The sequence below is a fragment of the Homo sapiens genome, chromosome 7, assembly GCF_000001405.40.
Source record: "Homo sapiens chromosome 7, GRCh38.p14 Primary Assembly".
Lineage (NCBI taxonomy): Eukaryota > Metazoa > Chordata > Mammalia > Primates > Hominidae > Homo > Homo sapiens.
In genome coordinates this window covers 110436374-110462690 of record NC_000007.14, presented here as the reverse complement: position 1 = coordinate 110462690, position 26317 = coordinate 110436374, and the positions used below count along the sequence as shown (strand labels likewise).

The following is a 26317-nucleotide window of genomic DNA, read 5'->3' as shown; positions in this document are numbered from 1 at the left end:
ACAAAACTCTTTGATGGATATAGTTGCAAAATATGTTATCAAAGAAAATCCAATTATGCAAAGGAGGTTTAATAACAGTATTTCTGTGAACATAATGCAAACTATCACTCCATTGTTGGAGAAAAATAATATAATCATACCAATAGATTATGAAAAGTCCTTTGATAAAAGTCAGCAGTGAGTCCTAGTAAGAATCCTAATTAAGATAAAAATAGGATAAACTACTTAAAGGTAATAAAGATTTTTTTAACAAAAACGTATACCATATTATGAAAATGTCATTGTTATCCAAATTATATGTAAATTTAATGGCATTACAGCTAGAAATTTATTTTTAATGATTGGATCATATGATTTACAATTTGTATCAATTCTTGAAGACAATTAAAACAAAAGTAATAATAGAACACTTGCCTTTCCAAAAAGCAGAACTATAAAGCTACTATAATAAAATTGGTATGACTGGATCAAGAATTAGCAAATTAAAAAGTACAACAGTGAAATACTATCCAGAAATAGCTCACAGTGTATATTAATTTTTTATCATAACAAAATTGCTATTTCAATTCAATATGAGAAAAATGGTTAATTTAGTAAATGATGCTGGTGCAGGTGAATATCTAATTTAGGAGAAAATAAAATTGAACTTCTGTCTCACATCATATATTAAAAATTAATTTCATGAAATTTTTAATGACAATTTTATTTTTTAAAAAAGAAAAGTATCTTAGCAAGTTATTCAGATATTCAGTAGCATGATAGAGTCTGCCTCATAACAGCTCGTTTGAGACAATTATGTGCATTTCTTCCTAACAACATATTCAGGAATATCATGTTGATAGCTTGAAACTGACCATGGTGGGAGGATTTATATTGCAGACATCATCAAATTCTACAAATCAGGGTTTCTTCTCCTCCTCCACCTGAAGTCAGTTGTTAAACATTTATCAGCTCACTACTATGTACATCAAATCTTTCATCTAGGGATTAAAGAATGTCTGTATATATTCCCATTATCTAAATTTCGTAGATACTCTGCACTGAAACAGGAAAAATTCAAACTGGAAAAAAAAAACTTGTCTATTTCTCTTTTTAATTTCATTAGTTGGTACCACATATTTTGTTATTGCATACCTGTTTAGGACCGTTGTGTTTTCTTGGATAATTGACATCTTTATCATTATGTAATGCCTCTCCTTATTTCTGATAATCTCCCTTTCCTGAAGTCTGTTCTGTCCAAAATTAATATAGGTGCTCCAGCTTTTTTCAATTAGTGTTATCAGGCTATATATTTTTCTATCCATGTACTTTTAACCTATCAGAATCTTTATATTTAAAGTAGGTTTCTTGTAGCAGCATATAGTTGGGTCTTGTGTTTTTATCCACTCTGACAATCTGTCTTTTAATTGGTATATTTAGACAATTCACCTTTGAAGTGATGATTGATGTAGTTTGATTACTATCTATCATGTTTGTATTTGTTTTCTATTTGTTGCTTTTGTTCTTTGTTTCTCCCTCTCCTCTCTTTTATTGCCTTCTCTGAGTGTAATGAAGCATTTTATGTTATTCTACTTTAACTCCTCTTTTAGCATATCAATTTTATTAAAAAAATTTTTTTTAGTGGTTGCCCTAGAGTTTACAATGTGAATTTTTAACTAATCAAAGACCACCTCCAATAGCATTATACTACTTCAGATGTAGTGCAGGTAACTCTTATCCCTTGTCACCTCAATGCTATTTATTTTAGTTACCCATTGTTACTAATATTGCTTTAAACAAATAGGTATCTTTTAGATCAATTAAGTAGAAATAGGCTGGGTGCAGTGGCTTGCACCTATAATCCCAGCACTTTAGTAAGTGGAGGCAGGAAATTCACTTGAGACCAGGAATTTGAGACCAGCTTGGGCAAAATAGCAAGCTGTGTCTACAAAAGATTTAAAAATTTAGCTGGATGTGGTGATGAGCATCTGTAGCCCCAGCTACTTCAGAGGCTGAGGTGGGAGGATCACTTGAGCTCAGAAGTTTAAGGCTGCAGTAACCTATGATCCCTCCACTGGATTCTAGCCTGGGCGACAGAATGAGACCCTGCCTCCAAAAAAAAAAAAAAAAGGGAAAAAATAAAAATATAGTTGCCTCCACTATTATTTCTCCTCCTTCTCCTCTCCTTCTCCTCCCCTCTCCTCCTCCCTCCTCCTCTTCCATCTTCTTTTAATGCACATTCAAGTTTCTGATCTATGATATTTTTCACTGCCTGTCTCTCCAGATTTGGGGGTAATGGTTTGTCTGCAACTCCAGTTCTCTAACAGATCCAGAAAAAGTTGTTGATTTTCAATTTGTATTGCTTTTTCTTGAAAGAATGGGAGTGATGGCTTCCAAGCTCTTTGCATGATGGAGCTTACACTGAAAGCTGTATAATTGAAAATGTTTGAGCATGTAAAAACATAAAACTTTTGTATGGCAAAAAGTACAACGGACAAAATCGATTAAAAAAAACAGATTGCAGAACTATCTATTTGTAGCCTAGATGGGAAGTAAGGGGTACATCTCTGTACAATACAAAAAAATTTTAAAGAGAGATGAGATAAAGATTTCCGCACGAAACAAAAAAGTCTTACCGACAGACAACATAAAGACAAGGCAGACAAGAGAAGCAAACCACTAGAAATGTGATCAATTCACAAAAAACCAAATGACCAATAAACACACCAAAATTATTAAATAAATGGTTAGGAAAGTGCAAACAAAAGCAACAAACCTTCAAAATTAATATTAACAAACTTGGGTACTCATATATATTCTGACAGAAATATGAATTGTTGTACCTATTTTGGAAAACAACCTGGCAGCAATCACTAAAATAAAAAGTCTTAGCCCTAGACAATTCACAGGTCACTATTGCATATCTATCCTACACAAATAAAAGCAAATAAAGATATTCTTTTGGATGTTTTTATTAGCATTGTTTTAGTGGCATGTAGCAATATGTTGCTCAGTGCTAGGGCAATGCCTAAATAAATTATAAAATATCCAAACCATGATTTATTTTAGTTATTTAAATGAACAAATGAATTAGAGCTATGCCAGTTGGCTTGGAGGAATTGATCTAAAGAATTTATGAATGACAAAAGCAGAATGTATGAAAGTATGTCAAATATGATTTCAATTGTGGAAAATAGTAAAAAATAATATGTACTTATATCTACATAAATATTTTGCCAAAGTTGCAGATCCTATTTGCAGTATGATTTTATTATGTTAAAATGAGCAACAAAGCAAAGGGAATTAAAAAAAACCAACCGTATCTATGCATGCAAAGTCTCGTGTAAGTTTTAATAAACTAAGTGAAATGTTTAGAAAGATACACACCATATTGTTGACATGGCTTATCTCAGGAAGGTGCAATAGAGGAAGTGTCATGATACAGATGATAAACTTTTTTCTTGTACACCTTTGTATTCACTGATTTCAAACATATATTAAAGTGGTAATTTGAAAAGAATTCAAGTATACAAGCTCTAAAGAAAAAAAACCAATGTAAGGAAGGGGTCCAGTTTCAGTTTTCTGCATATGGCTAGCCAGTTTTCCCAAAACCATTTATTAAATAGGGAATCCTTTCCCCATTGCTTGTTCTTGTCAGGTTTGTCAAAGATCAGATGGTTGTAGATGTGTGGCATTATTTCTGAGGCCTCTGTCCTGTTCCATTGGTCTATATATCTGTTTTGGTATTAGTACCATGCTGTTTGGTTACTGTAGCCTTGTAGTATAGTTTGAAATCAGGTAGCGTGATGCCCCCAGCTTTGTTCTTTTTGCTTAGGATTGTCTTGGCTATACAGGCTCTTTTTGGTTCCATATGAAATTTAAAGTAGTTTTTTTCTAATTCTGTGAAGAAAGTCAATGGTAGCTTGATGGGCATAGCACTGAATCTATAAATTACTTTGGGCAGTATGGCCATTTTCAGATATTTATTCTTCTTTTCCATGAGCATGGAACGTTTTTCCATTTGTTTGTGTCCTCTTTTATTTCCTTGAGGAGTGGTTGATAGTTCTCCTTGAAGAGGTCCTTCACATCTCTCATAAGTTGTATTCCTAGGTATTTTATTCTCTTTGTAGCAATTGTGAATGGGAATTTGCTCATGATTTGCCTCTCTGTTTGTCTATTATTGGTGTATAGGAATGCCTGCAATTTTTGCACACTGATTTTGTATCCTGAGATTTTGCACACTGATTTTGTATCCTGAGATTTTGCTGAAGTTGCTTATCAACTTAAGGAGATTTTGGGCTGACATGATGTGGTTTTCTAAATATACAATCATGTCATCTGCAAACAGAGACAATTTGATTTCCTCGCTTCCTATTTGAATACTCTTTATTTCTTTCTCTTGCCTGATTGCCCTGACCAGAACTTCCAATACTGTGTTGAATAGGAGCGGTGAGAGAGGGCATCCTTGTCTTGTGCCGGTTTTCAAAGGGAATGCTTCCTGCTTTTGCCCATTCAGTATGATATTGGCTGTGGGTTTGTCATAAATAGCTCTTATTATTTTGAGAGACGTTCCATCAATACCTAGTTTATAGAGAGTTTTTAGCATGAAGGGGTGTTGAATTTTATTGAAGGCCTTTTTTTTGCATCTATTGAGATAATCATGTGTTTCTTTGTCATTGGTTCTGTTTATGTCATGGATTACGTTTATTGATTTGGGTATGTTGAACCAGTCTCATATCCCAGGGATGAAGCTGACTTGATCATGGTGAATAAGCTTTTTGATGTGCTGCTGGATTCAGCTTGCCAGTATTTTATTGCGGATTTTTGCACTGGTGTTCATCAGGGATAGTGGCCTAAAATTTTCTTTTCTTCTTGTGTCTCTGCCAGGTTTTTGTATCAAGATGATGCTGGCCTCATAAAATGAATTAGGGAGGAGTCCCTCTTTTTCTATAGTTTGGAATAGTTTCAGAAGGAATGGTACCAGCTCTTCTTTGTACCTCTTAGAATTTGGCTGTGAATCCTTCTGGTCCTGGGCTTTTTTTGGTTGGTAGGCTGTTAATTACTACCTCAATTTCAGAACTTGTTATTGGTCTATCCAGGGATTTGACTTCTTCCTGGTTTAGTCTTGGGAGGGGTATGTGTCCAGGAATTTATCAATTTTTTCTAGATTTTCCAGTTTATTTGCATAAAGGTGTTTATAGTGACAAGGTGGCATTCTTAGCTTCTAGTTTAATGTAACCATTGTTTTAACTCCCTGTAGAGGCCTTATTTGATTGGAAACTAAGCTCTCTTTACCAGCAGAAAACTGTTGGGCAGGGAAGGCAAAATCAGATCCAGCATACATGTCTATTTTGGTATGAACAAATGGCTGCCCTTTTCATGAAAGAAATTTGCTAATGTAATCAACTTGCCTTCAGATGGCTATCTGGTCACCCTTTGGAATGCCATTGTATCAGGGCTTCACAGTTTGTCTCTACTGTTGGCAGGTTGGGCATTCAATATTGATGTAGCCAGATTAACCTTGGCAAGTGGAAGCCCACATTGCTGAGTGTATCCATTCCAACTTTTCATTTTAGAACTAGGAACATGACTACAAGGTGGCTTGAGGGACCCACTGTAGATGGGCTGAGCCAAAATGACATGAATCGCCTGGCTTTCGTACATCCCCTTTCTGAATGGTGAATCACTTTGCTGTTTTGTGTCTCCAAGAATTTGTGTCAGCTCAAAGGCAGTGTCTAGCAATCCCTAAGATGTTCAGTTATTTTTATTTCCCTAAAGCACAAGCACCCTGGTAAATGGTTCCAGGTTCTTCCGGAAAAGACTAAATGGATATTTTACCACATACATTTTTGGCAGTGTGGCAGTATCCTTCCTCAAAGGGTTCAAACCTTCTCTTCATTTAAGCTGCTCTGAGTCTACAAACCACTCAAGTCTGGGAAGTGGTTAAGGAGCATGACTCTATTGTAGTGATTCAATTCAGGGCTCCATCTACCAGTCCTAACAATTTTGCTTATAAAAATCAAAGTAGACTTGATTTAGTAGGCTGTTCACCTGTATTAGTCCTAAGACTATAATTATTTAGCTACAAAGATCTCTGTAGGTCATACTACCTGACTACTATCAGATCAATGATTGTTGTGTATTATGGTAACAATGCCCACCTTGACCTTGTCAATTAGTGCCAGTAACTATTACTTGCATCATATGGCCCCTGCCACTTCAGAATCCCACCATTCTCGTTGTCTTCTAGGAGTCTGTTCCACTGATACCTCTCCCAGCGTCATTCCTGGCATGCAAAAAAAAAAAAAAAAAAAACAAAAACCATTAAAGAACCTTTGAAGGTTGCTCGTTTAATCCTCCCGAATGTATTTCTGAAAGACTTCGAGAAGGAGTAGATGAGTAGTGGAACACAAAAAAAATCCACTCTAGCATCCCTGTCTCCCTAAGCCTTTGGATACTGCCTTCTTCAGATCACTTTGGCCACCACAGGGACTCAGTTACAGTCAATCAGCTGACAAGCCTGTGATGGTTAATTCTAGATGTCAACTTGACTGGATTAAGGTATACCTAGATAATTGGTAAGGCATTATTTCTGGGTGTGTTTGAGAGGGTATTTCCAAAGAAGAATGGAATGTGAGTTGATGGACTGAGTGAGGAAGATTTTTCCTCCTCAATGAAGGCAGGCACAATCCGTTTGGCTGGGTGCCTGGATAGAACACAAAGACAGAGGAAAGGCAAATTCTCTCCCTCTTCTCTCTTCTCTCTCTCTCTCTCCCTCTCTCTCTATCCCCTTTTCTCTCCTGGAGCTGGGACACCCTTCTTCCTCTGCCCTGAGACATAAAAACTCCAGGTGCTCTGGACTTTGGACTCTGCGTCTTGCACCATTGGTCCCCTACGTTCTCAGGTCTTTGGACTTGGCCTGAATGATACCATTGTCTTCCTTGGTTCTGAAGCCTTTGGGCTTGGACTGAGCCATGCTACAAGCATCCCTGGATCTCCGTCTTACAGTCAGATTATCCTGAGACTTAATATCCATAACAGCATGAGTCATTTCCCCTAATAAATTTTATATCTATCTATCTATCTATCTATCTATCTATCTATCTATCTATCTATCTATCTATCATCTATCTAATCTTTATATCTACCAATCTTCTGTGGGTTTTGTCTCTTTGGGAAACCCTGAATAAAACAAGGCTATTAGACTTATTCCTAACAATTCAAAATAATATATGGAATCCAAAATTACTTGTTAGTGCACTCATATAAATAAACCTAGCTGAATCCAACAGTGTATTTCTTTCTCCTTGTTCTAACACTCTTACAATCAATTCCCAAAGATATTCTTCTAGTTTTCACTAACACAAATTGTCAAAATATTAAAATTCTTTTGTGTGTATAGTATATCCTCCAGGATTAGACTTTGTATTTTTCTTAAGGTTTGAGTTCAGTTATAGGTTTAGAAGCAAAAGAGTTGATGGGGTGGCACTTGAGAGTCAGCATTCTTCCATAAGTCTACAGGTTCTTCAGTAAGGGAAGGTGAGTTTACTCTGACAGCGTAGGTTTCTACTGAGTGGAATTTGGGTGTTCATTGCAATTTATCTAAATAGCTCTATCCCAATCTTTAGGGTCTCATTCTTTCCCCATCAATGTTATAGATAAAGTACTGTAAGAGAATCTGAGGAGCCATACATTTGATTTGCATTTTAATTAATCACATGTAGTATCAGACTTTGGGTTTCGTTTTCAAAAACTTCAAACCTGCAGCTAAAAGTTATAAGGTATATTTTTCAGGATAGTCGTAGATATTTCACTTTCATTACTCAGAACTCAAGATAGAAATAGAAAGCCCTGACCTCATCATTTGCTTTTTCTAGTACAGTTAAAACAGGCAACCATCTCTTTCCTCTTTTTTTTTTGAGATGGAGTTTTGCTCTTGTTGCCGAGGCTGGAGTCCAATGGCATGGTCTCAGCTCATTGCAACCTCTGCCTCCCAGGCTCAAGTGATTCTCCTGCCTCAGCCTCCCGAGTAACTGGGATTACAGGTGTGCGCCACTATGCCTGACGAATTTTTATATTTTTAGTAGAGATGGGGTTTCACCATGTTGGCCAGGCTGGTCTCAAACTCCTGACCTCAGGTGATCCATCCATCTCAGCATCCCAAAGTGCTTGGATTACAGGCGTGAGCTACCATGTCCGGCCCTCTTTCCTCTTTGTCCTTATAATCTGTATTTTGATTATAAATTTTTTAATTAAAAAATTAGTGGGCCGGTTGCGGTGGCTCATGGGCTTACACCTGTAATCCCAGCACTTTGGGAGGCTGAGATGGGTGCATCACCAGAGGTCAGGAGTTCAAGACCAGCCTGGCCAACATGGTGAAACCCCGCCTCCACTAAAAAAAAAAAAAAAAAAAAAAAAAAAATTAGCTGGGTGTGGTGGTGGGCAGCTGTAATCCCAGCTATTTGGGAGGCTGAGGCAGGAGAATCACTTGAACTCAGGAAGCAGAGGTTGCAGTGAGCCAAGATTGTGCCACTGCATTTCAGCCTGGGCAACAAGAGCAAAACTCTGTCTAAAAGAAAAAAAAAAAAAATAGTGGGTAGCAGTAGGTCGCTGGTATGGTCCGAATGTTTGTGTTCCTCCAACACTCATATGTTGAACTCCTATCTTCAAGGTGATGGTATTAGAAGATAGGGGCTTTAGGAAATGATTAGGTTATGAGATTGGAGCCCCCAGAAGGGGATTCATGCCTTCATAAAAGTGGCCCCCAAAAGCTCCCTTCTTCTTTCCACCATGTGAGGACACGATAAGGAGGCACTATCTGTGAAGAAGTGGTCCTCACCAGACATCAAATCTGCTGTGCCTTGATCTTAAACTTCCCAGCCTCCAGACTGTGAGAAATTAAAGCTTGTTGTTTATAAGATACCCAGTTTATGGCATTGTGTTATAGCAGCATAAACTAAGATAGTCACCCAAAGCATAGGCATCCAACTCCAGGTAACTCCAGGTGATAATGCAAGAAATTAGTTTTCAAATATCATGGTCTATAAGTATCCTATTTATTACTGGCAATGAGGTTATTAGTGCTTTTAAATCTAATCACATTTTAGAACCAATTCCAGATTCCCATCTTTAATATTCTGTACCCCTGGATCCACTTTAGTGCCAAAAGCTATGTCAGTCTGGGTTTGTTCAGAAAAGCTGAGGGACTACAAGGATGACAGAAATAAGTGTAAATCAAATTTATAAGTAAGAATTCATGTGTACACAAATTTGTGTGTAGCTGGTGGAGATTTGTCTGGAGGCCTGCAACTGGAGGATCAGAGAGACTTCCATTAATCACATCATTATTAAGCTCTGGCACTGGCATGAGTAAAAAAGCTTATAGGACGTTTGTGAAACCACAAGGTGGGAGCCCGTGAGAGGTCTGTGGAAGTACCACAGTGACTGGAGTCATCATGTTTGATTTCCACAGTTTCCTTAGAATAATGGCTTCTGTTTCACTTCTGCCTTCCAAATAATTTATGAAGTCCTCTCATTGGCAAATTTTAATCTAATAACACACAGGGAGAGAATTTTGTGAAACAAAGTTTTCAGACTTGAATGGGAATAGTAGAAGTTGTATCAGGGTGTCAACAGACAATCCAGAACACCTAGTTCTTTCCTATCTCTGATATGGTTTTTCAAATGCTCAAACTCTAAAAAGTCCAGTCTTCCCTAGAATCACTCTAATATTTGTGTGTTGAATTTAACTACCACTTGTTGGGTGCTCTGTTTCATACCTTATACTAAAATATGGGAATGCAGTGATGCACAAGTCACATTTCTTGCATTACAATTTCATAAGCTAACAGGGAAGAAATATTTGGCAACAAGTAAGCGGTATTCATTTAAAGAATGCTACAATAATGGTATACACCAAGATAAGCAAGAAAAAATGGATGTTTGTTAGGAAAGTAAGGTTAAGAATGTCATTTTAATGAAAAGAAACAGGATGTAAATAAGCATGAGTTCTCAAAGATGGTAAATTTAGAAGAAATTTAAGTAGATTTTATGGCTAGAAATTGAGTTCAAGAAGATAGCGGGGGAGATTAAGTTGGAAAAGCAGACAGAGGTAAAGTCAAGAAGAACATATACAGAAGATTGAACTGTTTTTTTTTGTTGTTGTTGTTTTGTTTTGTTTTGTTTTGTTTTAGCAAGTGGAAACCAATAAAGGGATTTAAGTCCTGGAGACTTGTTTTGTATAAAATTACTCTTTGTAGCAACATAGTGGAGGAGTTCAAGGCCAGAGATGGAAAGGCATTTTAGGAGGCAGTTGCCATAGCCTAGGTGAAAATTATATAAAAGCTGTGTTAGTTGAAGTGTAGGGGGTTGTTTCAAATGGGGATCCACATAGTTGATGGGATCTGGAGATGTGCCCAGAGATGATCTGATGACTTTTCTCTATTTCTGGTTTGGTTGACCAGTTAAAAGGTAAAGGTCATTAACCAAATAGGGGCTCAAATTAATATGAACTTTGCAAAAACTGAACTCTGAAAAAATATGATACTTTTTGTTACTTTTAAATGGAACTATGTTTACAATTATAAAATGTACAAAGTATTCCTATGTCTTCATGGCACATAAAAGAAAAATACTTAATGTCAAAATAAGAAATGCATGTGCAAATTTAGGTGCTCAACATGACCTATTATAATATCTGTCAAATAGAAAACCCTGGTTAATAGTATGCTGTGAATGTCACAAACTGTAGGCAAAGGTGTGGAAAATTTATGCAATGTAATCTGATCCATTCATTTTATAAAGTTATATTGTATTTTAATTCTTCATTTCTAGTTTTCCTTGTTTTCTCTTTCTCTGTGCTTCCTCATTTAATTTGCAAATTCTGGGTTTACAATTTCTATGTTGATTTCATAGTTTTCTTGCTACAATAATCTGTAGTTTTGTTCAGAAAGTATACTTTCTGAGAAAATGAAGGAATTACTTAATCAGTAAATTAACCAAATAGAAACAACTGTGCTATAAGAAAGTAGTGATTACAGCACCAGATTAGGGTCAGGAGACCTGGGTTCTGGCCTCAGTTCTGTCACTTCAGCAGGTGACCAAATTCTCTTTGGGCTTCAGTTTCATTTTCTGCATGATTAATTATTTCTATTTTTGACCTTATCAGATTGTATTTTAATACTTATCAAAATATTTATTTTCAGGAATGCTCTACTGGTCAGTCAGCTTTTTGGGGGTAAGAAATTCATCCTAATTATTTTTGTGTTCCTAACATAGCCCAGTGCCAAGCATATGCTTAATGAATAGTTGTTGAAAGATTAAATAATTGATTAATTATCAGGAGCATGAAGGAAGGTTAAGGTCTGGAAGGTGTGGTCCAAACAATATCTGGAGTATCATTAGTACTCAAGATCAAGAAAAGACCAAAAAATGAGGTTTGAAAGAAAAATAAAAAAATCAGTAGTAAATTTGGATTACCTCAACTCCAGTAGAGCAAGTCAGCTATTGGGATTAAAAGGCAAAAGTAGCCTTAATCCTGAGCAAAAGTAGTTTGCACCTGGCCAATTTTTGAGTTTTCACCAGTTGTGAGAAGTTCTAGGTTTGATAATGGAATGTAAAAAATAATTATTTGGAGATTCACTGGGATGAATTCAATAAATAAGTCATGAAGCATCTTTGCCATCTCATCTACCACTAAACCACAAATAGGCTTAAATATATGAGAACATTTTGATATATACGTGATAACATTTTGATAGATTCTGGGATGTTCCCATTTGTTAGGTGGTCCTAGTGATGCATAGGAGAGTTAATGAATTGGTTTAGGCTGTTTTTCTTTAAACTTTTATTTTAAATCTACTCTTCAGAGTCAGGACCATTCTATGGTTAAATATCTAGCTAGATGCTATGGTTTGAATGATTTTGTTCCCTCTGAAATTCATGTTGAAACTTAATCCCCAGTGCAACAGTATTAAGAGGTGTGGCCTTTAGGGGGGCTTAGTGATTGAATAGGGCTCCACCCTCATGAATGGGATTCAGTGCCCTTATAAAAGGGTTTGGTGGAGGAACCCCATTTTACCCTTCTCCTATGTTAGGACATAGTGCTCCTTCCCTGCAGAGGTTGTAGCAACAAGACACCGTCTTAGAAGCAGAGACACAAGGCTCTCACCATCTGATACCTTGCTCTCAGACTTCCCAGCCTTCAGAACTATGAGAAATAAATTTCTATTATTTATAAATTACCCATTCTGTGGTATTTTGTTATGGCAGCACAAATAGACTAAGAACCTAGGCTTCCACAAATACTTATTTAGATCATACCCTCATAAGGGTGCCTGGCTGAGGCTTAAGGACCTACTTCAGACTCTGTTTGCCAAGTCATGACCATCGGAAGGGGAAAGGGGAAGATAGTCAGAGGAAGAGTTGTGTTTTGGAGTTGGTCTCCCCAAGAGGGACCTTTTTCTAACTTGCATAAGGGTACAGAGATCCTGGCCTTAATGGTACCAAAAGAACATCCAAAAATAAAAATCAAATCACCAGAGGAGATTCTGACTACAAAAAGTGCTCTAGGTTTTTTTCCATAGAATGCTCTTATTATTTATCATATGCCAGGCTCCCCAAGGCTAATGCTTGAGAGTATAATGAATCATTTTCAGTAGCTTTATGCATAACCTCTACATTACAACTTGGTACTCAATGCATTTTTCTGAAGGATCCACTGAGAAATAAGAAACTCATATGTATGCATTGACCTGCTACCATGGGATATTACCCCTTGATCTTTGTAAGAAAACCTCTTCTAATTTCCATACCTTGGAGACATGTTAATGAATAAATGACTGATTAAAAACATTTCTTATTGAATTTATGTACTTCCTGAAATATTAGTTAGGTTAAAATTTTAGATGCTATTGAATATGCGATGATTTGGAGACTTTATAGGTGGGGTTGATTTGCAAACGTTATTCTCTCCAGTTATTAGTCTATGTCTAATTGTTGAGTTTCATTTTGATTTAAAAAATAGAACAGTTTCAAACCAGACAAATATATCAAAATGTTCTCATATATTTAAGCCTATTTGTGGTTTAGTTGTAGATGAAATGGCAAAGATGCTTCATGACTTATTTATTGAATTATTGTCCCTATTTTAAACAAGGAATCTTAGAACTGGGAAAATCCTAGAGGCCATGTAGTCTAACTTCCCACTTCACGCAAGGACCATGTCTTTGTCCCCTGCCTGAATACTTTTCCATGAAAGGAGTCGGGAGAGGTTAGGTCACTTGTTTGTTCTCTGTTCTACTGCATTGTTGGACAGTGATAATTCCCAGAAACTTCTTATTTTGAATTGAAATTCTGACTCACTGGAATCTATTATATTAGATTCCTCTTTGTCTCACTTCCTATTCCAGGTAGTACCCTGAGGTACTGGGCAATATTATCAAAACAATTAATATTTCACTAGGTCAAAACAATTCTAACTTGAGTTTTGTCTCTTCTAAACTAAATGGTCTTAGATCTGCTAACCATTCTACCATTTAAATTTCTGGCAACTCACACTTGTTTCTCTTCCTCTTTCTAGTCTTTAGTTTTGCAAAGACCCCTTAAAAGACTGCCTGTGTTTGAATTCCAGTTCCCCTTCTTAGTAGCTGCATGAACTTGGACAGTTATTTGAACCTTTTTTTTTGCCTCAGATTAGTTATTATAAGTAAAGCATTCATTTGTTTACCAAATATTTATTGAATATTTATATACCATGAATCACACAGTCTTTTAGATGGTTGAGAAACATCAATGGCTAAAATAAATATCCTTGCCCTCATAGAAGTTGTATTCATTCTTAAGATGGTTCCTGGCATATGGTAAATGCTTTGTGATGTTTGCTATGTGTGTATACATTTGTGTGTACCTGTGTATGAATATTATGTCCAAAGTAGTCAAAATATGTCAGATACACTCTCACTAGTGCTGAAATACATTAGGATTACCACTTTATTTAAATTGGATGAATATTACCTTCTTTTGACATTATTTTACTAGGTGGTTAATTAGTGCTTTTGTTAAGGCTAAGGTCAGCGGATTGCTTTAGCTATTATTTTTTCTAAATAACATTGAATGCTTTTATTAGCAAATTTAAAAACTCATCTGCGTGTGGAATGCAAAGGCGTGGAGAAGACCAGAACCCAGTCTATGTGTTTTTGTGTATAGGACAAAATTTCCTTGACATAATGTCTACCTTTCTGCTGGATCTCCTTTCTGTCTGCTTTGCTTTGATCCTACTGCCCACTTCTTCCCAACCCAGTTGATAAGCTGAGACCAACTTATACTGTTGAGCTGATTGTTAAAAATTCAGGAATTTTGCAAGCTGGTTGCAAGCTACTGTTGGTAACCTGAAAATGGCCACACTGGGAATATTTCATAGAAATCAGCAAAATCTACACATGAAAACTTTTCTTTTGCACCAGTTTACTCGTGCACCACTGCCCCAACCTGATGAGACTTGACCAGCATCTCATTATTGTGGTTTTAGTTACCAACTGAGCTTTACTTGGATACTTACTAATAATTAGGCTCTTGTTTGGTATGTGTAACTGTATTTTCCATGTAGAATATTTGCGTTTTAAGCAGAATTTTCTTTAAAGATGAAAAAACTTACAAAGCATATAGGAAAAAGGCTATGATGATGGGAAGAAGTTCCGAAGAATTTTCGTAAAGATATGAATCTTTGCTTTTGTTACTGATGTTTCTCAACCACCTAGACAATTATGTGGTATATAGTGAGTGTTCAATAAATATTTGTGAAACATATGAATGCTTTACATGTAATAAGTACTGTTCATTGAAACATAAAGAGGTTAAATAACTGATGTCATGCAGCTAGTAAGGAGTGAAGTGGGAATCCAAACATAGGCAGTGTTTTAAGGGGTTCTTTGCAAAATTAAAGGAATTGAAGCAGCTGATCTGTGTTTTGTTTGTGTTCTATTCTGTGTGATATCCCAAGGGGAAAGAAAAAAAGGCAGGTGATCCCATCAAATCTCTTTGTCAACTGGAACCTAGAGTATATAGAGTAATAATATTACCCAAGGAAAAGAGACTTTATCTGTTTAGTATTCCTATGAGGATGTTCCCTACAGGACTGCCCCTAGGGCATTTGAAGCCCCAGGTAAATATTTTCTGGAGATGCACTGGGGGTGTACAAACAATTTGATTCAATATATAATGTATTACAAAATTAATACATATATGTAAAATATAGAGATATATTGACGAAAATGTATAATAATGAGCAGAGAAGTGGTACTGAAATATTTGCTTATTTTCTGATCAGAGCACATTATAATATTTTATAATGCCCAGTCATCTTTTCTTTTTGTTCAATTCCAGGAGCCATGTTCTTCATGTGCTTTCTTGTCAAATGTGTCCTTCTTGGCAAATTTTATATTTTCTACCACAAGAAAAATGTAGCTTTACTGTTATTATTCACAATGTCATGGATCTTCAAACCTATTTGTATTGAAACACCACTGATCTTCTTGGTTCTATAGTTCCCTAATGCCATCTTGTTAGTGACGATTATGTTATTACTCAGGGTGCTGCATTCTCCATCATACCACCCATGAATATGGAATTCTAAGGACTGTCTCAAATGTTATTACTGTGCTTTGGGGGTGATGACCACAAATGTAAGTCTTTCACAGTGTATGCAAGAAAATATGAATAATAACATATTTTCTGGTTATGTTAAATGTATTATTTAGAATGTTATAGCATAAATATAGAAGAACATATTCCAACCATGTTAAACTCTTCAGGCAATCATCACTGCGTTCCTATGACGTAATGTCTTTCAATGTTGATAACATCTCTGCTTTCCACTCGCCAACAACAGTAAGTAAAAAGCAAGGGACTCATGGGCAGAGCAAAAAGAAGGATCTCATTTGTACAAGGGATATTTGTCCTTTGTCCAGATCTGCTTAAGACTGACCCTGGAGAAGCCGGGCGCGGTGGCTCACACCTATAATCCCAGCACTTTGGGAGGCTGAGGCAGGTGAATCACCTGAGATCAGGAGTTTGAAATCAGCCTGACCATTATGGTGAAACCCCCTCTCTACTTAAAAAAAAAAATACAAAAATTAGCCAGGCATAGTAGCATGCCCCTTTAGTCCCAGCTGCTCAGGAGGCTGAGACAGGAGAATTGCTTGAACCTGGGAAGCAGAGGTTGCAGTGACCCGAGATTGCGCCATCGCACTCCAGCCTGGGTGACAGAGCAAGACTTCGTCTCAAAAAAAAAAAAAAAAAAAAAGACTGACCCTGGAGAACACGACATCACCACATTAATTGGAGGTAAGACAGGTCATTAATTAAAATTGCCCACTGGTGTTGCAAAGCAATGCTTGAAAAAAATCCTTAGAAGAGATAGATGTGGCCACCTTGGAAGTGTGGAGCCTGCTGAAGAGGTAGAGTGATTGCCTTGAGTGCTAGCACTAGAGGGGAGGTACACAGGGTAAGGGATGCCTGCCACCACCTCCACCACTCTTGGGTACTAAAACTATAGGGAGCACCACTGTCAGTACATGCACAGGTGAGAGCTGATAATACAGGCCCAAACAAATGGCTTATCCCCAAGGGTTTGTGTTGAACTTTCAGAAATCCGGAGTCCTGAACTTGTCCTCTGTCTGACATGAGTGAGAACCACAAAAAAATCTGTGTGTAAGCACATTCTATGACTGAATCTCATGAGATCTAATAAAAGAAATATTAGGGCTTTCTATTGGGAGTAATCTGCTTTTAATGCTGATTTTCTTGAATTAGAACCGTGCCCTTGAACCACACAGCAATATCAAAGATGCAAGTCCCAGAGTTCTTCCAGGCAACTGGTCAATTTCACGTATAATATAGAGGATCAGAGAGTGCCTCAAAGAGAAGAAATGGAAAGCACAGCACATGTGGCACCCTAACTACAAAGCACTACCAACTCCAGGAAGTTCCAACTACCAGAGGGGAACTCGGACATTTTTGAGGACAGTATTTCTGGCAACGTGACCCACTTAGGATCTGGTGCTGGGAAGTAACACCTTGATGAGATAGCACAGTTGGTCTAAGCCAGCCCTGGTGATCAGAGAGAGACTCTGAAAATTTTGAGGCAGGTGCTTCTGGTGACCAGGATCCATGCAGGAACAGGTTTGAAGGCACTCTGCTGGAGGGGTGTGAGGTTTCAGGGTACCATGCCTGAGAAGCTAACTTCGGACAGTACAAAATTGTAGAGGAGGACTTAGAACATTTCAGTGAAGGGATTTCAAAGCATAGAGCCCTCCAGGACCACCTGAGGAGCTGGTCCTAGGTCAGGGTCCCTGCTTGGCTGAGTCTGAGAGTGGTACTGTTCCCTGGCTAATGAATTATTTGAAAGACTTTAGAATCTATGAGGCATGTCATCTTGGAGAATGCCATGTAAGTTCTACAATTCTCTAGGATATTAAATGGAGATGTTTCACAATTAAAGACTCCTGCTGCAATAGGAGGTAACCCTGGAGACTTCACTTTTAGAGATTTCATCTATTATTCTGGGCCAGAAGTCCATGTTTCGCATGGGAAGATAGGACTTGGAGAACTGCCCTTAAAGCCCTTGATCTTTCTGCTGTGTCTGAGTCTGTTGATTACTTTTGTCCTTGAAATTATTGTAAAACTTAATACCCATTAAGATCTCCGGTTTGTTTAAGTCTGATATGCCAATCTAAACTATACGTTACACACATGGGGGACTCGGTTGATGTTTGGGGGCATGAACCATTTACTTGGTGTCACATTGATTGCTTCCTCTTTTCCTTCACTCTGAAGTTGACAGACAGGTACTGAAGTAATAATTTTGGTCCCTTTTTTCTTTTTTGAAGGGGGATGGCTGGGTGGGAAGGCAGGTGGAGAAGAGCTTTCTAATTTTAAAATCCGGTATTCTGGGAGGAATGTAGTATTTTCTATTTACACAGCTAGCTAGCAAATAAATTTGGGAATACCTATCAATAGTCTATATTAAGAATAGAGATAAAGCACTCAAAATTCAAAGCATGCGTCAACTCTATCAGAGTAAGTTATGTGTTTCTTGTACTCCAGCCCTTCCTCTGTAAAAGAGAATTATCACAACAAAGCCCACATTTTTCTAAATATTTTTGTTTTCGAGGCTACACATTTCAAGGACATATCATCTAAACAGAGGAATTGATTTGTCTGAATAGAATTCAGCCAGGATCTCAGAGTTTATTTGACTTCATAGAAGTCAGAGTGATCATATTTGGAGACGTGTGCAAAATCTTACGGCAGTGGGTTATCTTTTTTAATCCCAGAAAATAATTTACTAATGGGGTTTACCTGATGTGTAGTGTCCATTTTGAAGAACTGGCCTGAACCATAGTTATTAGTCATTATTTAATTTAATAGTGTTCGCTGTAAAGATAGCTGTCATTTATTGAAAACTAACCATGTACCAGGCATTGTTTTAAGAACTTTATGTGGAATATCTCATTTTATTTTCCTAGCAACACTGGAGATAGATACCATTATCCCCACATTACAGGTGAGGAAACTGAGATACAGGGAAATTAAATACTGTAGATTGCTCATTGTTACATACTTAGTAATTACTATGAGTCAAACAGTTCAGATTGATTTCAACATGGATCCAAACTTCAAGATCAGAATGGATGTGATACCCCAGACATAACAACTAGATAATTATAGATGATTCCTCTCTAGCTATTTGCTTCTAGGCTCTAAGCTTAAGAACTGGATTCAAAGATGCAGGAGGGCTGAAAGAGTGAGCCCAGTCCATCCTACTATGCAGCCATAAAAAAGAACGAGATCACGTGCTTTGTAGGGACATGGATGGAGCTAGAGCCCATTATCCTTAGCAAACTAATGCAGGCATAGAAAACCAAATACTATATGTTCTCATTTATAAGTGGTAGCTAAATGATGGGAACACATGGACACATAGAAGGGAAAATCACACACTGGGGCCTGTTGGAGGATGGAGGGTGGGAGGATGGAGAGGATCAATAAAAAAAACTAATGGGTACTAGGCTTAGTACCTGGGTGACGAGATCATCTGTATAACAAACCTTCATGACACAAGTTTACTTATGTAACAAACATGCACATGTACCCTTGAACTTAAAATAAAAGTTAAAAAAGAAAGAAAGAAAAAGAACTCAGGGTATTATTTTTAGCTGCTCATTTTGGGGAATATGGACTTAGTTATAAATAATACTTACTTTTATTTTTTTCTTTCAGGTGTACGACTTTCCCCTTCCAATTTTCAGGTTCACACTATATTCTAGAATAGGTATAGGAGGGATGGCTGGAAGGTGGTGGTAGGCAGTGAGTTGAATTTTGTCTTTTTCTCTTGTTCATTGGTCAATCACTCTTATTAAATACCTACATTATAAAATAATAGGGAGCTTTCAACATTTGATACAAAATATGATACTGTCCCAACCTTTATGCATTCAGAAATAAAAATAGAGAAAAAGTAAAGAGTACAGGAATAAAATGTTATGAATTTCTAAGAGCTGTATCCTAAAGCAATCCCAATATATGTCTAGAAAAAAATTTCCCTCATGGCTAACATACATCTTAGTATTATTTGTAGCCCACAAATATATTTAATTGGGTAAATATATAATTTTACCAACTTATAGGTTAGTATTTATCTTAAAGTTATTTTATAATGCTGTAATTTCACTTAAATTATGCATATTTTTATACTTTTGCAATAGCAACAGTATTTTTAATCCCTTCTAAATAATGTGCCTTTATTTATTGAAAAGCAAATGTAGTCTCTCATCAGTTTATAGTGGGTGAATGCTTTGTATTACATTTTAAATGTTGCTTTGGAAACAGGCAATTAGTTATACACCAGGCCTGCCCTTGTCATTTACTGAGAAGAAACACTGATACGGAGTTCCTTCTTTTGTAAATTTGAGATAAGCTGTCCTCCCAAAGACATCAAGATAAGAGGAATCAATGCACATTGTCATTTTGACAGGCCGTATTCTCCTGTTAGTTTACACATCTGCTCAAGGAGGGAAAACTATCAGATACTTTTGCTGATAATGATGAACAAGAGAGGGAGTCTTAGGTTGGTATCTGAGGACAGCCTGTCAAGGCCCAGTAGAAATGCAATCACCTCATTCTAATGAGTGCCATTGCCCTACAGGGGGAGCCACGATGACAGCTGATCCTTCCCCTGCAGTTTGAAGTCCTTGTTAATGACCTAACTGTAATTCTCAGACCTGTCAACAAGGCTGCAGCACGATTTCTCAGTCCAGTGAGCTATTTTCATGTATGTGTTTTCAGGCCCTTCCCCTCTGTTTTGAAGTGACAAGTCTCTGTGGTAGTAGGAACACCAAGGACAATTTGGTTGCTCCCAGATGGTTTGGAGAAAGGGCTCGTTTATTTTAGAAGCTGAGAATCCCAGCTTGTCATCTAATTATCATTAAATAGCTCCCCTATTTCTGCCTACTTTTTCTTTCCAGGAAGTTAACTAATGCTGAGATTGGCTGAAAAAAAAAAATACCCTATTACACACTTTCCTATTTTCTTTCCCTCTCGCATGTCAGAAAATATCAAATATTTTCTATTTGTTATTACATTAAAGAACTGCTGGCCGGGCGCGGTGGCTCACGCCTGTAATCCCAGCACTTTGGGAGGCCGAGGCGGGTGGATCATGAGGTCAGGAGATCGAGACCATCCTGGCTAACAAGGTGAAACCCCGTCTCTACTAAAAATACAAAAAATTAGCCGGGCGCGGTGGCGGGCGCCTGTAGTCCCAGCTACTCGGGAGGCTGAGGCAGGAGAATGGCGTGAACCCGGGAAGCGGAGCTTGCAGTGAGCCGAGATTGCGCCACTGCAGTCCGCAGTCCGGCCTGGGCGACAGAGCGAGACTCCGTCTCAAAAAAAAAAAAAAAAAAAAAAAAAGAACTGCTGATGTATTTTCACAGACTTAATAATTAGAACTAATGTGTCGAGACCAAAGGGATTGATTTCTTATTTTTATGTTTGACTTTTTATTCTTAAAAAAGATAATTTTAATACTTAGCAATTAAAACCAATACAAGTATCACTAGTAACAAAATATGATTGCCTCTAAGAGAATTTAGGTGAAACATAGACCATTTTTATCTAGGCAAAATAAAAACCAGAGATGAGGAGGGATTATTAGAATAATTAAAGAATCAAAAATTACATAAATACTTGAACTTTCCCTTGTAAAATAGAAATGTTGGTATGTTTAACTTGCAAAATAACTTAGACTTTCCCCTTTAAAGGCTAAATGAAATAACATGTGATAAGATTAAATAGTAAATGAAAGTATATCATCCCAGTGCTGAAACTTAGTAGGTGCTAAATAAATGTTGATAAAAGAATGATGGCCTCTAACTTCTGCTATTATGGCTAAAGGTAAGATCTTAATTTATAATGTGGGTACTGCCTGAGTTTTATTGTGTTATTATGGTATTATAGGACTAAAATGACAAGGGTATGGAAAACCCAATGTTGCTGTTGTGGTTTTTATAAAGTAACTTGGATTTCTGGGTCATCAGTAGAACCCTGGCTTGTGTGAGTACTGACTCTGTGGACTGAGCTTGTCACATTCAGTGTTCCATCTCGTGGCCCACTGAGCTGAGAATGTCTATGGCCTTTGGAGTGTAATGTCTTTTGGAATCTGATATAAGGCTAAAAAAGCCCATGCCAAAGATACCTATGATAGAAGTGTGACAATATTATTTTTGTTCCTCCACATTATTGCCCTTCTCATTTGCATTAATTCTGTTCAGAAGCAAAATATGGTGTAAGGAAGAAACCAATAATTGATTTTCAATGTGTTTTGGACAATTACTACTAAAATTGATGAATTTATTATTTTGTCAGTATATTTGGTACTTCAACCAATAAACCCTATTGGATAGGCTCCAATAGGGATGTGCTTCATACCAATATTCAGTCCTTGAACACTACACGTTTACTAAAAAATAAAAATCATCCTGACAAAGAATCACCCTGATCTTTCTTTTTTCTTTAGATTACTGATATAAGGTGACTATGGTTTCTGGACCTGAATTTTATTTGGCTTTAATTCATTTTTGATAGCATAAAGGAGGAAACAGTTCTTTCTAAATTATTCATCGTGTTGTTTAACAAGTAGGCACCATACAATGTGATGGCTCCTGAAATTCCATTAGTCTATTGTGAAATACGTAATTATACACTATTATGAAAATAAGAAATTTGTATTACTCATATGTATCTGACAGCCTGCAATTAGTTTAGACTCTCTAATTAACATATGTTTTACTTAATGGTGAGTGATTATGGATTATCATTTAATTATACATAATTTCAAATACTCATCTTTTTTGTGAATATTAGATACAAAAATAAGTGTTTGTCAAGAGCAAAATGATCATGCTTTTCTGTTTTGTTTTTGTCCAGTACCAAGAACATTATTATAAAATAAGTAGTAATAAAACAGCTTTCCTTTGAGTAAATTGCTGAATATTTTTTGCCATATATATTCTGCTATCATATTTATGGATGCCACTTTTCTTTTATATGAGTTGTTCATGAGTAATTTTTCACATAAAGAAGAATCAACAGTACAAAGAACTATGGAAGCGGTTGTGAGTTGATTAATTGAACCATTTTTTTTTCTGAGTACTCATTCTAAATACCTGGGTTTCATCAATCTACCCTAATTAGAAGAATATATTTGTATAATCAGGTTACAGAACCAATTTTAAGTTTTAGTGTAATGGTGCCTGATCATCTTTGAATAGGTTTTTTTGTTTTTATATAATGCTTGATTAATTCATACAAGTTTTACTACTTGGTGGTTTTGCCATATCTTATAGATACATTTCACTGTTTAATAAAAGAATGCTGGAAAATATTTGCAAATTATGCATCTTATAGACAAAGGTCTAATATCTGGAATCTATAAGGAACTTAAGAAAATTTACAAACAAAAAAACAACCACATTGAAAAGTGGGCAAAGGACATGAAGAGACACTTTTCAAAAGAAAGCATACATATGGCCAATAAGCATGTGAAAAAATGCTCAACATCACTAATCATTAGAGAAATGCAAATCAAAACCACTATGAGGTACCATCTCATACCAGTCAGAATGGCCATTATTAGAAAGTCAAAAATAACAGATGCTGACAAGGTTGCAGAGAAAAGGAAATGTTTATAGACTGTTGATAGGAATGTAAATTAGTTCAGCTGTTGCGGAAAGAAGTTTGACAATTTCTCAAAGAACTTAAAACAAAATTGCCATTCTATCCAGCCATCTCATTATTGGGTATATACCCAAAGGAATAGAAATTGTTCTACCATAAAGACACACGTACATGTATGTTCATCACATCAGAATTCACAATAGCAAAGACATGGAATTAACCTAAATGCCCATCATTGTTAGACTGGATAAGGAAAATGTGGTGCACATACACATGGAATACTATGCAGTCATAAAAAGGATGAGATCTTCCCCTTCCTGTGTCCATGTGTTCTCATTGTTCAATGCCCACCTGTGAGTGAGAACATGTGGTGTTTGTTTTTTTGTCCTTGCGATAGTTTGCTGAGAATGATGGTTTCCAGTTTCAGCCATGTCCCTACAAAGGACATGAACTCATCATTTTTTATGGCTGCATAGTATTCCATGGTGTATATGTGCCACATTTTCTTAATCCAGTCTATCATTGTTGGACATTTGGGTTGGTTCCAAGTCTTTGCTATTGTGAGTAGTGCCACAAGAAACATACGTACACATGTGTCTTTATAGCAGCATGATTTATAATCCTTTGGGTATATACCCAGTAATGGGATGGCTGGGTCAAATGGTATTTCTAGTTCTAGATCCCTGAAGAATCGCCACACTGACTTCCACAATGGTTGAACTAGTATACATATGTAGCAAACCTGCACATTGTGCACATGTACCCTAAAACTTAAAGTGTAATAATAATAAAATTAAAAAAAAGTTTTAAAGCAACAATAACAACAACAAAAGGATGAGATCATGTTCTTTGCTGCAACATGGATGGAGGTGGAGGCAATTGTCTTAAGCAAACTAACACAGGAACAGAAACCAAATATCACATGCCCTCATTTATAAGTGGGAGCTAAACACGGAATACACATGGACTCAAAGAAAAGAACAACAGACACCGGGGCCTACTTGAGGGTGGAAGATGGGAAGAGGGTGAGGATCAGAAAACAGTATATTGGGTACTATGCTGATAACTGGGTGACAAGATAATCTGTGCACCAAACCGCTGCAACATGCAATTTACCTATATAACAAACCTGCACATGTACTTCTGAACCCAAAATAAAAGTTAGAATAGAAGAAAAAGAATGTATAAATAGGAACAACATGAAGCATAAAAATCTGTTTCTTTCTCTACTTGCTAAATGAAATGTCCATCACAGTGGCAAGCCCTTTGAAATACTTTTGTTTTCCTTTCAGTAAATCCAGAGTGAATGGGATTAGTGAATTAATATTTCTAAAGCCAGAATATCTTTATTGAGGTTTGTAATCAAAGGAAAGATATTTAGTAATTTCTTGTAAAATCAATGTTGGTATTTATGACTTAATTTGCATTTTTGACAGAATACATTATTTTTTAATTAAAAAAACACAAATCCACATATAATAAAATATAAGTAGAAAGATTGTAATTAAGTTGGGGCTGTGTAGGTGTTTACTGAAAGTAATTAATGCCCTACAGTAGATTTTTTTTTTTTTTTTTGAAAGAGAGGGCTAGAGTAATCTGTTGTGGCTAAATTTGAAATGTAAGTAGCTTAGATAACTGTATTGCTTCTCTGTAAATTTTGATGAAACCTCAACTAGAATACTAGATTATTGGGATGTACTGAGTAACTTATTGCAGTAGGTGGAATAATGGCCTCTAATTATCTCCACACCCTAATTCCTGGAACCTGAGAATATGTTATCTTACAGGCGAAAGGAACTTTGCAGATGTGATTAAGATGTAGGATGCGGTGATTATTTTAGATTATCAGGGTAGGCCCAGTGAAATGACAAGTGTCTTTTACAGTAGAAGAGGCAGGCAGAAGAGAGTCAGAGGAGGATAAGACTAGGGAAGAACTAATAGGATAGATGTATATATGAAAGGGAGTTATTAAGGAGAATTGACTCACATGATCACAAGGTGAAATCTCACGATAAACCTTCTGCAAGCTGAAGAGCAAGGAAGTCACTGGTGGCTCAATCCAAGTCCCAAAGCCTCAAAAGTAGGGAAGCTGACAGTGCAGCCTTCAGTCTGTGGCCAAAGGCCCAAGAACTCCTGGCAGCCCACTGGTGTAAGTCTAAGGGTCAAAAGGCCGAAGAACCTAGAGTCTGATGTTCAAGGGCAGGAAGCATCCAGCATGGGAGAAAGATGAAAGCCAGAAGACTCAGCAAGCTAGCTTATTCCACCTTCTTCCTCCTGCTTTTTGTAGCCACGCTGGCAGCTGATTGGATGGTGTGGGTGGGTCTTCCTCTCCCAGTCCACTGACTCAAATATTAATCTCTTCTGGAAGCACCCTCACAGATGTACCCAGAAACAGTACTTTGCACTGTTCATTCCAGTCAAGTTGACACTTACTATTAACCATTACAAGTCCATCCCTTGTCAACTTGAACCCATATACATCTCTTGAAATCATACTTAATCTCCAAATAAAGACAATAATAAGGTCATAATTACACCTAACATAATACAGCTATCCTTCGTACAACTGGAAGCTCGCTAATCCTTAACCTAAATGCTATAACATAAAGTTAACAACACTTAAATGCTGATATGAAGTCAATAAATCTTATGTCACATGATAAAGGAAAGAGAAAAGAAAAGGAAGATATTTTCTTATGCAAGTGTATACAGGCACAAACATATTCTTAATAAAATAAGGAGAAAATGCTCGAGACAATTATAGTCCTTGTTTCTGCAACTGGTCACGTGGTTGTAGCTGGTATTGATTAATACCTTCCACTACTACCCATTCTGTATTCTCTTTGCCTTCAGCAAGCACCTCAGCTGGTCGTGGTTTTACCTGGTGGAGTGACTCAAATCTTCCTTGTTGAAGGGTCTGGGCCATTTGTAGTTCTACCTGGATTGGGTTGTTGTAGTTTCCCATTGACCTTAATCACAGGACATGGTAATACTAAGAGACACCCTAAGGGATCTCCAGTATTCCACACGTACTCTTCTTTACCTCCATTGTGGAGTAGTAGACTGATTTCATCTTGATAGTCCAGGTCAATCACCCCAGCCAACACTG

At 36.8% G+C, this 26317-nt stretch overlaps 2 long non-coding RNA genes across 2 annotated transcripts in view; one reads left to right on the top strand and one right to left on the bottom strand.

Moving 5' to 3' along the window:
* Nucleotides 1-26317, top strand: part of LOC105375451 (uncharacterized) — a 173872-nt gene that overhangs the window by 72027 nt on the left and 75528 nt on the right. The gene's annotated exons all lie outside the window — the stretch shown is intronic.
* On the bottom strand, nucleotides 2808-26317 carry LOC105375450 (uncharacterized). The gene is made up of 3 exons (XR_927862.3): nucleotides 26090-26317; nucleotides 19239-19401; nucleotides 2808-6265 (listed from the first exon to the last, which is right to left on the bottom strand). It is a non-coding gene; the product is annotated as an uncharacterized LOC105375450 (long non-coding RNA).